This window comes from Homo sapiens, chromosome 9 (assembly GCF_000001405.40).
Source record: "Homo sapiens chromosome 9, GRCh38.p14 Primary Assembly".
Taxonomy (NCBI): Eukaryota; Metazoa; Chordata; class Mammalia; order Primates; family Hominidae; genus Homo; species Homo sapiens.
Genome location: NC_000009.12, coordinates 26029394 through 26047206, shown reverse-complemented (window position 1 = coordinate 26047206; position 17813 = coordinate 26029394).

Genomic DNA, 17813 nt, shown 5'->3' with positions numbered 1-17813 from the left:
TCCTCTTTTATTTCGTTGAGCAGTGGTTTGTAGTTCTCCTTGAAGAGGTCCTTCACGTCCCTTGTAAGTTGGATTCCTAGGTATTTTATTCTCTTTGAAGCAATTGTGAATGGGAGTTCACTCGTGATTTGGCTCTCTGTCTGTTATTGGTATATAAGAATGCTTGTGATTTTTGTACATTGATTTTGTATCCTGAGACTTTGCTGAAGTTGCTTATTAGCTTAAGGAGATTTTGGGCTGAGATGATGGGGTTTTCTAGATATACAATCATGTCATCTGCAAACAGGGACAATTCGACTTCGTCTTTTCCTAATTGAATACCCTTTATTTCCTTCTCCTGCCTGATTGCCCTGGCCAGAACTTCCAACACTATGTTGAATAGGAGTGGTAAGAGAGGGCATCCCTGTCTTGTGCCAGTTTTCAAAGGGAATGCTTCCAGTTTTTGTCCATTCTGTATGATACTGGCTGTGGGTTTGTCATAGATAGCTCTTATTATTTTGAGATACATCCCATCAATACCTAATTTATTGAGAGTTTTTAGCATGAAGGGTTGTTGAATTTTGTCAAAGGCCTTTTCTGCATCTATTGAGATAATCATGTGGTTTTTGTCTTTGGTTCTGTTTATATGCTGGATTGCGTTTATTGATTTGCGTATAAGGAAGCAGCCTTGCATCCCAGGGATGAAGCCCACTTGATCATGGTGGATAAGCTTTTTGATGTGCTGCTGGATTCAGTTTGCCAGTATTTTATTGAGGATTTTTGCATCAATGTTCATCAGGGATATTGGTCTAAAATTCTCTTTTTTGGTTGTGTCTCTGCCCGGCTTTGGTATCAGGATGATGCTGGCCTCATAAAATGAGTCATGGAGGATTACCTCTTTTTCTATTGATTGGAATAGTTTCAGAAGGAATTGTGCCAGCTCCTCTTTGTACCTCTGGTAGAATTCGGCTGTAAATCCATCTGGTACTGGACTTTTATTGGTTGGTAGGCGATTAATTATTGCCTCAATTTCACAGCCTGTTATTTGTCTATTTAGAGATTCAACTTCTTCCTGGTTTAGTCTTGGGAGAGTGTATGTGTACAGGAATTTATCCATTTCTTCTAAATTGACTAGTTGATTTGCTTAGCAATGTTTATAGTATTCTCTGATGGTGGCTTGTGTGTCTGTGGGATCGGTGGTGATATCCCCTTTATCATTTTTTATTGTGTATATTTGATTCTTTTCTGTTTTCTTCTTTATTAGTCTTGCTAGCAGTCTATCAATTTTGTTGATCTTTTCAAAAAACCAGCTGCTAGATTCACTGATATTTGGAAGGGTTTTTTTGCGTTTCTATCTCCTTGAGTTCTGCTCTTACATTAGTTATTTTTTCCTGTTGCTAGCTTTTGAATTTGTTTGCTCTTGCTTTTCTAGTTCTTTTAATTGTTATGTTAGGATGTTGATTTTTAGATCTTTCCTGCTTTCTCTTGTGGGCATTTAGTGCTACAAATTTTCCTCTACACACTGCTTTAAATGTGTCCCAGAGATTCTGGTATGTTGTGTCTTTGTTCTTGTTGGTTTCAAAGAACTCTTTATTTCTGCCTTCATTTCTTCGTTATGTACCCAGTAGTCATTCAGGAGCAGGTTGTTCAGTTTCCATGTAGTTGAGCGGTTTTGAGTGAGTTTCTTAATCCTGAGCTCTAGTTTGATTGCACGGTGATCTGAGAGACAGTTTGTTATAATTTCTGTTCTTTTACATTTGCTGAGGAGTGCTTTACATCCAACTATGTGGTCAATTTTGGAGTAGGTGTGGTGTGGTGCTGAAAAGAATGTATATTCTGTTGATTTGGGGTGGAGAGTTCTGTATATGTGTATTATGTCCGCTTGGTGCAGAGCTGAGTTCAATTCCTGGATATCCTTGTTAACTTTCTGTCTCATTGATGTGTCTAATGTTGACAGTGGGGTGTTAAAGTCTCCCATTATTATTGTGTGGGAGTCTAAGTCTCTTTGTAGGTCACTAAGGACTTGCTTTATGAATCTGGGTGCTCCTGTATTGAGTGCATATATATTTAGCATAGTTAGTTCTTCTTGTTGAATTGATCCCTTTACCATTATGTAATGGCCTTCTTTGTCTCTTTTGATCTTTGTTGGCTTGAAGTCTGTTTTATCTGAGACTAGGATGGCAACCCCTGCCTTTTTTTATTTTTCATTTGCTTGGCAGATCTTCCTCCATCCCTTTATTTTGAGCCTATGTGTGTCTCTGCCTGTGAGATGGGTTTCCTGAATACAGCACGCTGATGGGTCTTGACTCTTTATCCAATTTGCCAGTCTGTGCCTTTTAATTGGAGCATTTGGTCCATTTACATTTAAGGTTAGTATTGTTATGTGTGCATTTGATCCTGTCATTATGATGTTAGCTGTTTATTTTGCTCGTTAGTTGATGTAGTTTCTTCCTAGCATTGATGGTCTTTACAATGTTGAAGACTTCTATTTCCAAAAGCATTTCTATAGGATTCCTAGCTCCTGACTACTTTAACAATTATTATCTATTATGGATGACAAAAAGAACAGAAAAAAATTGTAAGGTAAGTAGTCTGGAATATTAGTCAAAACAGTCATTGATCTCTGGAGCAGTGCCAATCTAGAGAACAAAGTTCAATGTTATTCTTTGCTTTCCATCAATACCTTGGCCAAAAACCAGCTTCGGAGACCTAACATAGCTCCAAGATAAGTTGACAATGGGAACTTAAATCTAATTTTCAAAGCTTCTCCAGTGATGTGAAACAGCTTTGAAAGGATAATTGATATTGCCCTTTAAATTCTTAAAAGGTGGGATGAGGATCACACTAGCATGAAAAGTGATGCAGTGATCATGTTGTATTTGTGTGACAATCTCATGTCCAACTGGGACAAGAGAAATAGGAGTATTTAGAGGGCATGGGGGAAAGGCAGCACACCAGATGTGTCCTGGGCAAAATGGAGTCTATTTTGCAGAACATAAGGAGATGTAATGACTCATAAAAACTCCTGGTTACTGCTCTAACACAAGAGGGGACTGGGAAAGAGACATAGTACATTTCCTTGCAGCCTGGGCCTACCCCAGAGTTTTATGTGTCTTTATAGTTTCTTCACATGCTGAGCTACGGCATCAAGAGTCTGGCTTGGAAATTGACTCAGTTATTAGGCCCTGTATATGTTTAGTGCTTAAGTTTCTTTCTATTCTCCTTATGTAATTTGTCTTCTTTCAATACAACAGACCGAGGGCATAAGCATAATGACTTGGAAAGGCTAATACCCCAACCTTGTATAGCTATTTTTCTAACATGCTTGAGTTTATTTTCACTTCTTATGCCTTTCAGTCCCTGCTGACTTTGTTACTCAGTTCAAAGTGCACTATCTCTTTACTGACATGAGGGCCTAGAATATTTGCAGTTCCTCTGGAGACTCCTGCCTGCTCACATATCCTCAGCTAGCACCATCTTTGTCTTTCACAGCTCCTCAGGTGGCTGAAATTTTCACAGCTTGTTAGGTGACTCTGGCTTTCACAGTCTGTGGGCCTGAATGACTGCTAGGGGAACAGCATTCTCACTCTCTCCCAAAGCCAAGCTTCACAGTGGAAATATGTGAGTTGTGCCAGTAGCCTCCCAGAAATCCTGCGGTCATGGCAGATGCAAGCTAACTCAGCATGGTGATGAGATTTCTTCCAGATTGGGAATTGATGTCCCAAACAGAAAGTGAATTGTACTGACTTCATTCTCAAGTAAGTTGTTGTGACAAGTGAAAATCAGAGCAACACCACATAAAGTGGCTGGCAAAATAAACAGCAAGGAGCATTATGTGTACAATATTGGTCCCTGTATGCCTTCTTTTCTTTTAATAGCTGTTAATATGACCAAAATGGCAAAGTGTATTTAATAGAGGCTTCCTTTGATATTGCACTATTTTTAGGAGCCAGGGAAAAGCAGCATTTTATCAGGAAGAAGGTAATAAGCAGGAATTGAAATGTTTTCATTTGGATCCTAAGTGGTGCCTAAGGAAAAATTGCACAATGTTAAAGCAACAATAATTGGTTCCTCCTGGCTTTTCCCATTGAAGGAAATTGAAATTCAATTGACTTTCAATGGAATAGCCATGGAGTTCCAATTGTCATTGCTCCGACTTTGTGCTTGTCTATCGGAAGAATGGTATGGGAGCCAAAAAAAGAAAAAGTCTTGAAACAGCTGGGAAAAATAGTGCAATTATTTTAGGACAGATTGGAGGGGACTGGGATATTCCAAATACATAAATAAATTTCAATGTACTTCAGAGCCCATAATTGATACATTGCTAATGGCAATATCAATTTGGAAGTGGTTGGAAGTGGAGTGCAATTTTTGCCATTTAGTTATTGATAGTAAAGTAAAATTTAATAAAAATAAATTATGACAGTCTAGGTTTGGATGCAAAATGAGAGATCTAAATTTTATGATTTTAGATAATTTTATGGATTTAGATAATTTTAAGTAGTGTTTCTAGGATTCAAGGTACCATCAGAAAATGATTGCAATAATTAATACTTATTTTTAGATACCCTGTCAGATATTTTGCAGTTTACCTTATTTATTCCTTACAAAAACTTAGTGAGGCTAGTACTGGTCGATTTATAGGTGAAGAATTTCGGGCTTAGAAAAATTAAGTACTTGGCTCAAGATAATATAGCCAGAAAATGGTTGAGCCAGGGTTTAGACCAAGGAAGACTGACCCTTTAACGTCTATTAGACCCTGGCCCTAAGAAAGGTTATTCACTACAGAAAAATAAAAATTAAAAAAAAAACCCCTGGGACTACAGATATACTATTAATAGGAACAGAAATAAGGGACTGGAGTTATTAAAGCAATGGTTGAACAAACTAGTTGGAGAAATAACTGAAAGGGAGCCATTAATTATTTGATAAAAATTCTACTTAAATGCCTATTTCGTTTAATGTACTAGATTTGACATGAGCTAAAGACACATATTTTAAAACACTTTGTTGTGAGACATTTTAAGCAAATGCTAAAGTAAGTAGACTGGTATTATGAATCTGTATATATCATTCACTTACCTTAAACAATTATCAGCTCACTGCAAATCATGTTTCATGTTATCCTTAATTGCTTCCCCACCACCAACATTACTAGGAAGCAAATCCAGGTTCTTACTGTTTTATTCATAAATATGTCAATATATCATATTCTAATAAAGACTTTTTATTTTAGAAATAACCACAGTATATTTTAAATAAATTATAGCTCTTTAAATATTAATCACTATTCAATTTCCTAAAATATCTAAGAATTTTTTAAAAATATGCTTTATTTAGATATAGCTTACATTAAATAAAAACAATCTATTTCATGTGTAGATTTCAATGATTTTTAACATATATACATCTGTGCAACTACTACCAAAGTCAAGATATAGAACATTTTCCTCATCTCCAACATTTCCTTCTTACTTTCTTCATTTCTGCTCCTTTCAACATCAGCTCCAATAATCCACTAATCTTTCTATCATTATGAGTTATTATTTTCCATTTGATTTCTGGCTTTGATCTTTAATATTTCCTTTCTTTTACTTATTTTGACTTAATTTTCTTTTTCTAGCTTCTTAAGTAAAACTTTGATAATAAACTTGAATCTTTTCTCCTAATACAAGTTTTTAAGTCTATACATTTTTCTCTAAACACTACTTTAGCTGTATTCCATACATTTGATACATGGCCATTTTATCTTCATTTTAGTCAAAATATTTTCTAATTTCCCTTTGATTTCTTGTAACTCATAGATTGTTTAGAAGTTTGTTGTTTAAAAATATTTGGTGATTTTTGCAGAAATCTTAATGTAACTGATTTCTAATTTAATTCTGTTTTGCTCAGAGAATATACTTCCTGTGATTTCAATCATTTTAACTTAGTTGTGACTCATTTTGTTGTTCTGCAGTCTATCTTGGTGAGTGTTCCATGAGTGCTTGAAAAGAATGCTTATTCTGTTGCTGGTGGCTCTAAGTAATGCCGATTAAATCAAGTTGATTGTAGTGTTATTCAATCTTTTCTATCTTTACAGATTCTTTCTACTTATTCTATCAATTAATGACAGAATAAAAGAAAATATCCAACCGTGTTTGTATATCTGTCTATTTCTGTCAATCATTGCTTCATATATCATGAAGATCTTTTATTGCGTGTATATCCACTTAAAATCACAATGCCCTTGAATGATTAATATGTTTATCTTTTGTTCTTTTTTTTGACATTCACGTTGCCTCATAGTTGTTTAGCTATTCCCGCTTTTTATATTTATTGTTTGCATGATATATCTTTTCCCATTCTTTAATTTTTAGCAAACTTCATACATATTATAGTGGTTGTCTTGTAGAAAACTTACAATTTGGTCATGTTCATATCCAGCTTGACAATTCCTGATTTTTAATTGAAGTGTTTAGAACATTTACGTTTAATATAACTGTGAAAATCTTTGAATTTAAGTCTGCCACCATCTTATCTGTATTCTGTTTTTCCCATCTAGTCTTTGTGTCTATTTTCTTTTGCTGTGTTATTGTACATAAGTTATTTTTATAATTCTATTTATCTCATTGTTTTATACTTTTAATTATTACTCTAGGATTTAAAATATTCACCTTTAATTTATTACAGCTTATCTTCAAATAATGCTATATCACTTTACATAAAAAACCCTTACACCTTTACACTTGTATACTTTAATTTCTCCAATCTTCTCTCTTGTACTTTTGTTGCCGTGTATTTTACTGCTACATACGTTATAATGCACAAACTGATACATTGTTAATATTTTCCCTTTAATCAATTAATTATATTTAACAAAAGTTTAATTTAAAAAGTAGTTATGGTCATATGTGTATATATGTATATGTGTGTTTGTATGTGTATATGCTTCCTGTGTGAAAGTTATAATCATTCATTTCTCTGAGGAATACTAGATTGTTTCAGTGAGAAATTAAGATTCTGCAGTCTGAGTGGTAGGGTACTCACTGTTACTAAATTGGTCATTATTTGTAAAACACCTAAAAATAATGAGATGTATTTAGTGACAATTTTCTCCTCGTTCATAAACAATTAATCACAAACTTAGCAGCTTAAAAAAAACACACATTTTATATATTTATCCTTTTCATTACTTTTAATTTTTTGCAGGAACATAGTTGTCAGTTTTGTACTTTCTTTTCTGTTTAAAAAACTTCCATTAAAATTATTGTAATGTAGGTTTCATGAGATGAATTCTCTAAGATTCTGTTTGTCTCTAAAAGTCCTTTATTGCTTGCATTTTTGAAAGATATAGTCTTTGGATAGATAACTCTGCTTTTCATTTTTTTTCCTTTGGCACAGAAAAGTGCCATTCCATTTTCTTTTAGCTTGCATAATTTCAGAAAAGAAGTCTTAATTTATCTTACTTTTGCTGCTCTGTGGGCAATATGTCTTATTTCTCTAGGTACTCTTAAGAGTTTCTCTTTTTCATTGGTTTTCAGCAATATGTTAGTAATACATGTCTTGAGGCATCTTAATTGCATGTCTTTTTGATTTTTAAAGCAAAATAGATCATAAGTTCATACTAATACTTCTTATTCAAATTCAGGCATGCAAGATTTTTGCTTTATCTCACATGTCTTATACTGGTACCTTCTTTCTCCTATGTCCAAAATTCCAATTCTCAACAACATACTTTCTAGCTGTCCTCATATCAAAATACAGATGTCTGAGAACAATACCAGCCATATCATGTTTGAAAATAGCTTAAATTTTGTTTCTGCATTGTTTAAAGCTAGAATATGCCACTAGTTATATTTGCCAAATCACTATTTTTTAAAGCTCCTTGAAATAATTCCTACAAGTGTGTATACAAATAAGCTTTTTTTGATTTCATTTTATTTTAACTCTTAAGATCTACTTTAAATTTCTCATTTTATTTTATAAATACATTAAATTTCCATGACTCAAGTGTCAAGTCTATAAAATATAGGACATTGAATGAAGAATAGAAGATTCTATTCCTTGCCTATCCACTGTTAGCGGTTACTCTCATTTAACTCCAGCCCCTTGGCCCTAGTCAACAAAGAGTAAACTTTCTGTCTCTAAGGATTTGTTTATTCTGGACATTTTATACAATTAGAACCATAAATATGTGGCTTTTCATATCTGGCTTTTTTTCCTTTGTCATAATGTTTTAAAGGTACGTCCATGTTGTAGCATATTTCAGTACTTCATTTTTAGGGCTGAATAATATTCACTGTATGGCTATTACACATTACACTTTTTTATTTATCAGTTGATGGACATTTGGGATATTTCCAGTATTTTATGAATAATGCTATAAACATTAGTATATAAATTCTTACAGAGGTATCTTTTCATTTTTCTTGGATAAATGCATAGGAGTGGAATTTCTGGGTCACATGGTAACTCTAGGTTTAAACTTTTGAGGACTTTTGAGACTGTTTTGCAAAGTGGTTGCATCATTTTTACATTCCCACCAGCAGTATATAAGTATTTTAATTTCTCCACATTTTTCCAACACCTGTTATTATCTGCATTTTTTATTACGTTCATCTTAGCAGTTATGAAGCAGCATCTCATATTTTTAATTTGCATTTCTTTGATGGCTAATGTCGTTGAGTATGTTTTCATGTGCTTATTATCTATACATAGCTTCTTTAGAGAAATGTCTATTCGATTCTTGGCCCACTTTCTTCTGTCTTTTTTTTTTTTTTGCACACTCTCTGTAACCATTTAAGAAAACTCATGTTTATTTTTTATTATTTTTAAGGTAAGCAATTATACATAAATGAATATGTCCTCTACCCTCATAGATAAATGACAGCTTGTGATATACAGTTGCTTTCTTCACTTGTTTTTGGTCATGCTGATTCTTCCATAATTACATAAAGAGAAAGTATTCCTTTTTTAATCAACGTACTACTGTACTGTGGAGGCGTGTCATACTTTAGTTCATAGTACAAATGTGCCATGCTTTATTTAGTTGGTTCCCTGGTTGTTGAACATTTGGAGTGTTTACAATTTGTGTATCATTTCAAATAATACAGATGCATAGAATAAGCTTCTGTATCCAATTGTACAATTGTGTAATATATCTCTGCAATTGATTACTAAAATCAGTATTTGTAGATCAAATGATAAATAAATATATACTTTTTGTAGATATTTCCAAATCTCTTTTCCTAGGGATTGAACCATTTTAAGTTCTCGCTGGCAAGGTATGAGTATTCTTGTGTTTCATCCAAAATTATGTTGTCGAAGATTTGATGTTTCCAGTTTGACTGGAGAGAAACAGCAAGTCCGTGCGCTATTAATTAGCATTTTCTTATGGTTAAGAGTCGTATGCAATTAATTATCTATGAAAGTTCTGTTCACATTTCTAGCCTGCTTTTTTTTTTTTTTGGTCTGAATCACAGATTGTTTTTCTGTTGTTTTTATTTTCTTCTTCTTCTCTATTTTTTTTAACAAAATGATAAAATACCTCACACATAATGGAATTTTTTCTGTGAGTGTGTGTGTGTGTGTGTGTGTGTGTGTGTGCCCTGCCATTTAGGGCTCTTTAATGACCACTCACCATCACTGTCTAAGGGGAAGCTTCATGAGAAAATTATACTTTTTTTTTCACATTATAAACATTGGCATCTGTGCCTGTAAAAAACATTTGTCTCTCTCTTAGATCCCTGGGTATAATTATGGACTTTCATTGGTTAACATCAGTATGCTTCTCTGAGTCCTACACTATACCCCTTTAAATTTATATAATTTATATTTCCTTTACCTAGGTGTATCTTTATGGGTCTTTTGTGGATGAACCAATTCTTTATTATTGCAAAGGGCCAAATAGTTTCACCTGGGAAGTCTTTTTTTTTTTTTTTTTCATATAATTACTAAGCTACTCTACACACAACCTAGAGTTTTGTCACTATTAATATCACAAAACTATGGTTTGCGTATTATTTCTCTTACTTGAATTGATCTAGGTAAGATATGCAGAATGGCAGAAAATGTCTATAAGTTTTGCTAATGGCCAAAGTAAGTTTTGAATGAAATTTAGTGAGATGATGAAAATGATCTTTACTAACAATCCTTTGTTAATAATTATAAATATATTTTAAGAGATTGTTTCAGTTTGAGCTTGCTGCTGTAGTATACTTTCTCCTAGAAAGCATTGTTTGTTTTTTTTCATGAGATCAATTAAATGGATGTTCCTATACGTGAATATTGGGATCTTTTTCCTTAAAGGGCTAATCTCAGGAGGGGTTTGTATTACTAAGAGAGCAGTCAATTAAACACCTAAAATCTCAGTGGTTTAGTACAATGTTTATTCTTCTATAAGGTATACCTAGTATGTGTTCATTTCTCTTCTCTATTTTGTAATATACAGCTGAAACACATATCCTCAAAGTCAGAGAAAATAAAGATAAAAAAGACATACTGGTTTTTAAATCCTGTGACCTAAAAGTGAAGCATCACTTCAGCTCATAGCGAACTGGCTAAAAGTAGTTACACAGGCTCAATCTAACCGCAAGGGAGACTGTGATATAATGGAGTGCATGGATCTTTGGTGTGCTGACTATAGTTTGAATATCTGTCTCTTTCAAAAACATATTGAAATTTAATCCCCAATGTGGCAGTATTGAGAAATGGGGTCTTTAAGGGGTGACTGGATCATGAGGGCTCTTCCCTTATGAACAAATTAATTTATTCATGGATTAATGGGTAAATGTATTAATGGGTTATTATGGGAGTGGAATTGGTGACTTTATAAGGAGAAGAAGAGAGATCTGAGCTGGTACACTTAGCCCTGTCACCATGTGATGCCCTGTACTGCCTCAAGACTCTGCAGAAAGCTTCCACCAGCAAGAAGGCCCTCACCAGATGTAACCCCTCGACATTGGACCTTGGAATTTTAAGCCTCCATAAGTGTGGAAAATAAATTGTTTATCTTTATAAATTACCCAGACTTGGGTATTCAGTTATAAGGAAAAAAAAAGTCTTATACAGTTTTCATAGGGATGTATCAGAAGGAAAGACGTTTCGCACTGAAGGGTGTATTCTGAGAATTGTGCCATAGCACTTTGAGAAGAAATGGGTTAGGAAGACCTGGAGAAGAGAAATATGGAAGTGACCAGAGAAAAGAAAGAGACACAACAGAATGGCAGCAAGCTAATTCGTATGAAGTCACATAGCAGATAAGAAATTCCCTATAATGGGGATTGAGTGATACATTTCTAGGAGCACTTATGTCTGGCATTAGTTTTGAAGTTGTGTTTTTCTTTATGCTATAATTATGTTTTTTTGTATACTGTGGTAAGTACAACTAACGTGAAATCTGCCCTGTTAATTTTTTAAGTGTGCAATATAGTATTGTTCACTCTAGGCACAATGTTATACAGCAGATCTCTAGAACTTAATCGTATTGCATAAGCAAACTTTGTATCTATTGGATAGCAACCCTCTCCACTCACTCCCTGGCAACCATGCTCTGCTTCTGTGTGTGTAACTATTTTATGTACCTCACATACATGGTATCATGCATTGCACTCCCATGTTCATTGTAATTACTTTTCATTATCCACACATAGTAAGTGAAGATACTACAGAGAATAGCCTTGTGTTATTGGTAGATGATTATTTAGGGGGAACTTGGAAAATGAGATTCTTTGAAGTAGAGCATTAAATGTGGTAGATAGAGAAAATTCTCAGATATAGAGAAAAGCAAGGAAAAATAATTAAAATCAAGCTGTCACTAGAAGTTAGGGTAAGAGATTCCAGGAGCTCATAAACAAGCCCCTCCTCTACTCCTGAATTCTGGCAGAAAAGTCTTGAGTAGAGCACTGCAACTTCCACCCCACAGCAAACATGATGTGGTTCTAACCATTTAGAGGAAAGAGTGGCCCTGTAAAGTTGTAGGATTCAGGATTTTCTTTGTTGAACAAATAATACTCCATTTATTGACTTGTTAGTATTTAGTAGAAATTATGCTATAAAATTTATACATTTTATCTAACACAATAGATATTAGCTTACTTATTTTACAGATTAGATAACTCTGGCTCTGAGAGTTTAAATCACTTGCCATGCATGCGTGTGTGTGTGTGCGTGTGTGTGTGTGTGTGTGTGTGTGCCTGTAATGGAAATAAATGCCTTAGATTCCATTCTTCTCCTATCTTAAACTATATACTGATTTGCTAAGTTTTGCCATCGGTTACATCAGAATTTACTGGAACTTACCGGAACATGATATTTGTACATAACAGATATCAATGGCATGCACTCATTTTGTCTAAGAAATGCAAAGGAATACTACTATACTGCCCAAGGTGTTGATGAGATAATGTCCAGATTTTTTTTTTTTTTTTTTGAGAAACTGCGTGGAGGTTCGACATAGCATTTTCTTGGCTAAATAAGTTTTAACTGCAGCTACACACATCTCAGATTCATGGTGCATCTAATTAGGCCAAAACAACATCTACTTGTTGAGGAGAGGAATTAAGTGTTGTATTGGAATAAAACATATTTAATGGCTTAAGCTAGAATAATGTAGTAGAATGCTAGTGCCCAGGCTTTAGGAGCCATATCCTCCTAATTCTTTGCCTATGGAATTCATGCTTGAAAAGTTAACCTGTGGAGAAATCCTTTTACAAATTGCTTGATTCTTACCAGCTACCAGTGGAATAAGCAATCTGTTCCTACATTAATAGGCTGCTACCTAGAGGAAACATTTAGGCAAAACTGCAAGCTGTCTTAAAATTCTGGAAAGCAAAAATGTCAAAGATGCCCAATTTTACCAAGCTGGTCTCTGAATCCTAAACTGCTTATTAAGACTTGCATGTTTGGAACACATGTGGAACACAGTCACCGATTTATCCCATGTAGGACAAGTAGCCAAAACCAAAACCTAAACTAAATATTTGGTCCTTTGGTTGGAAAACGGTTATTTCTAAGTTGTCTTATTTAGTGGACTCTATTATGCTTGAATGAGCAAGTGTTTTGTTTGTTTATTTTTGCTGACTGCCCTGCATTGAATGCTAGCCTCTGCTTAAAGTAAGAATGCCTCTAAAAAGATATATAAGTTTACATATCAAGACATGCTTGCTGAAATCATGGTCAGCACCATTCTGTTTTATAGTTCATCACCTGGTGCTTACCAAAACTTGCCCTTCTAAACTACATTTCATTTTTCAGTAGCTATATGTTCATTAAAAAAAAAAAAGATCTGGAATAATTCAATCCCCAAAACATATGTGGTTATCTTACACTTCCAGTAATGCATGCTCTCTAACACATAAGAAAAGATGCTGTTTTGATTACTTTATAGAAACTACAAAATGCTCTCTTAACTTATGCAATATAGTGGTAAAACTATCCTTTTCCTTCCCCGAGAAGGAATAAAAGTTATATGTAAGCAATATTAAGCGTGTGGCTAAATGTTAGTAAAAACATGTCAATCATAAAAAGGTAGGGCTGAGCAATCAATTTATATCTGCTTCAGAGCATGTTACAAATACCAAGAGATTTCAAAGTGTTAAAAATGAATCACAGCAGCATTCACGACTGAGCAGCAACAGGGAGTGATATGAAATAAGTTCCCATCTTGGGGTTTTCTGTAGATTTCTCCCATTGCTATGCAATCAATCATGTGCGGTATTGCATTCTTTCCATTTCTGCATTCATCATTGTGTTGGCAATTTCACTGGGGAAATTGGACAGAGTAGAGGAGAAAAGGAATCTGGCTGGACTCTAGTGACACAGATGTCAGGTCTTTTCCTTTGAATTTGAGGTTGGGAGTTCTATTTGATTTAGAGATGCATTTACGGACATAGAAAATTGTAGAAAACTCAGAATTTGTTGGTGAATATCAGAGCATAAACACTTAATATGAGGATTCTGTTATGGAAAGCAAACTTTGAACAAAAATGCACTGCTTAAGAACCTTTGTATGTAGGAGCTAGAACAACTCTATCAAAATGTAGAAATGGTAGACCCAGTTTATTTAGCATCCACCCTATGCAATGCTCTGTTCTCAGTGTTTGGAGAGACAGAAAATCTTGTCTTATTTCAGGAGTGGAAAAGCTTGTGATTCAACTGAGTATATAGCAAGGGCTAGATGAAGAATTTAGAAGAAAGAAAAAGATGTCGATCATTGAAAGAAGCATTTGAAATAGGGAATATTTTACGGGAAGCATAAGAACGGGGGTTGGAAAAAAGTACAGGGCAAAGAAATAGAGGCAGGAGTGGGCAATCCTCCTGCATGGAACAGGGCATGGGTCAACCTTATCTGGAATGGGAGCCAGTCAGAATCATGCTTTGTGAGTATCTTACAGGTCATGGGAACCAGAGGAACACAATTAATTGCATGCAATACAGAAGTACTTTTATCTTTTGAAAAAGTGTAAGAAAAAATGGTAAAAGTTTTTTCGTTTCAAAAAAATCTTTTTTTTAAAAAAATTTGGTTTTCCACCTAAGAGGTAGTCAGTATTCTGGTAGTTCCTCATGTTCAGCATATGATGTAAGGCTAGAGAGAGCCTGGACTTTAGGTCTATTATTCACCCATACATAAAATGTTTGCTTGTGTTTATTTGCTTGTGAGAAATTAAGCTTTCCAGCAATTTAATGTTCACTTTAGAATGATAGTGTTATGCATTTAATGTTTGTGTCCCTCCCTCCCAAATTTATATGTTGAAGCCTTAACCCCTAGTGGGATGGTATTTGGAGATGGAGCCTTTGGGAGGCAATTATGATTAGATTAGCTCATGAGGACGGGGCCCTCATGATGGGATTATTGGCCTTATAAGAAAAGGAAGAGAGAGATTCTCTTTTCTCAAGGTACTTAAGGAAAAAAAAACATTTTATTCCAAAATATATTTCTTTGATATATTTTGAGATGGGTGCCAAATGGCTGGCAGACTGAAGTAGCCCTGCAAAGTTGTCTTTGTGGGGGAAATCTGTGTCTGTAAATCCATAGAAAATATGTATTACTGTGGCTTGCCCTTAACTTTGTCAGGATCTAGAAAAGGTTAACTGAGAATCTGACACCTTCAAGGGTCCGAAAGAAACATTTACCATAGATTCTCTCTGAGGGCTGTTCCCATAAGGTTTCATCTATATAATGAGACTATCTTTGCTAGCCAAGCCTCTCTTCTTTCCTTCCCGTAACCTGTGTTGCCACTAACTCCTGATTTACTACTATATCCTCTTTTTGCCCATGCTCTGAGCCTGCACTCTTTCTGTAACCTTAAGATGGTACTTAAGTTTCTGTACCCCACTGTGGGAGTTGGGCCTTCATTCTGAAGTCTCTCGTGTACACATATTAGGTAAGTGTGGATGCCTTTTCTCCTACGAATTAATCTGCTTTTGTGAGTTGTTTTCTTAGTGAACCTTCAGAGGGTCAAGGGGGAAGTTCCTCCTTGACCCCTAAAGCATGCATACACACACACACACACACACACACACACACACACACACACACTGAGGAAAGGTCACATGAAAACATAGTGAGGAATCGGCCATCTGCAACCCAAGGAGAGAGATCTTTCACCAGGAACTGAATAGCCAGCACCTTGGTTTTGAACTTCCCAGCCTCCAGATCTGTAAGAAAATAAATTTCTGTTGTTTAGACCAACTACTATCTGGTATTTTGTTGTGGTGGCCCAAACAGGCTATATAGACAATTTTTTGAAAGTTGTTTGGTATAGGAAATTATTTTTCTTTGTAAAGGATATTTGGGGAATCAGTGGCTCAGGATGTCTCTAAAATCTAACTGAGGTTGAAATTTGAAACTTCCTTTGAAAGTCCAATTGAGTCTTAGTTACTGACTTTGATTCAAGTAATGACTGTAGTCTTCCCTGTGAAATCTGTTCCTAGATTTTAAACCTGGGCTCTATTGGAAGTATCCGGATGTGGTGGTTCTTGCTGTAACTCAAAGAGCCCACTTATATTTTGCTCTCTGAGAACAAAAAACTTACACTCCTTCAAACAACTTATGACCATGAAGTTCCAGAAAGATTTTCTGCCATTTTCTTGTTTTTAGGAATGAGGCATCTTAAACAGAAAAATAGCATTTCCTTAAATATACTCAAAATATATTATGCCTGGCTTTTTCAGGTCCTGGGTTTCTCACATAGGTACATCATAATTAGAGGCTTAGTTACTTTAAACAAACCCTTCTAGACCAAACTGGTATTAAGGAATTTTCATTTATTTCTTATTCATCAATAACAGAAAGTAGACTATTGGCTGGAGAAGCAGTCAATTTTGTTTCATGCAGATGCTGCCTGCCAGATACGATTTTATTCCTTAGTTATTATTCAATTGTGCTAATGAACACTGTATTATAAAAATTTTCTTTACATTAAAGTACATGTATTTAGCTCCTCTGTGACTAAAAGAACCATTATATATTTTAAAAATAAACTAACAATATTAAATACATGCTTTCATAATCTCAAAAAATAAGAAGGCTTTATTCAATTCTGTATTATATTTGAATGTATCTAAAGTGACATTAGAATTTCATTGATATGACTATGATACAGAAATGTATCTTAGAGAAAGGTAAGTGAGAAAAATTCCACGTGGTAATCATAGGTTATTCCTCTCGGTTAAATAGCACGGGAGCTTATTCTGAATTTCAGAGAGACTCGGGAGTAATCAAAGAGATAAAGAATATTGTGACATAAAAATATTCTACAAAATAGATATTTAACAAGAAATAAAAGGTGTATGAGTAATCTGTAAAGTGTTACTCAGTGTTTGATTTCTTCAAGATCTAACTATTGTTAAGAAAGATTCCTAGAACACTTACATGCAAAAGTTAGAAGTAAAATACGTTTTTAGAGAATCAACTACTACTACTATTTGAGTTATATTCTGGTTGAGTGAAGTTTTTGTTTCCAGTATCATTAGTTTAAGGAAAATTTACATATGTAGATTGAAGTGAAGAATTAGGCAGTTTTAGAGGCAATTTAGGCCAAATTGTTACTTTTTGGGCGATTACATAGACAATTGTTTATATTCTCACTGTCATTCTGGAGCAGAAGTTCCCAAATAATGTCTCTAGGATATCCTTTCCATAAGAAATGTGCAATACCACGGGAGTTAAAAAAAAATCCATCACTAAATATTTCAGAACACAGTGTTATATACTTAAAGAGCTTTTTTTGTGTAAGACTTTCAATATACTTTATTTAATATATGCAAGTAGTTTGGGACTCCCTGAGCTGGAGACATTACATATTAGAAATAATAGTAAGTTTTGATAGCATTAGGAAGGTATTATGGCCAGGAGGCCCAGGAGCTTCCTAACTTGGCTTGTACTAATCACATTTTCTCTTCATGTGGTCTCCAGAGGAAGCGGTATACAGAAGAAGCAATAACAATAATAAATAGGAACTCAGAGTACCATTTTAATATTAATAATGTGAATGCCTGATACTCCTCCAGTGAAGTCTCTTAAGTATGCTGGTAAGATGTGCAGAAATAAATGATATCTGTTCACTGACCCAAACTTACCAATGTGATTCCATTTATTCAAAGACCAATATGGCCAGCTGAAATAAGCTGGAAGCCAGTTTACTATATATTTAAATGAAAATAAGAAGATATTAGACCTACTCTGAGTAAATACTAGCATAATTCTCAAATCATTCTATAAATGAAATGCATAAAAGAACAAAAAGGAGAAAATCAAGATAGCTAGATTGCACTTGTCACCAAACTGCATAGCAGGCAGTGCTGGAGGAAAACAACACACAGAAAGAAAAAGAAAAGCCAGAGGGCTGGGT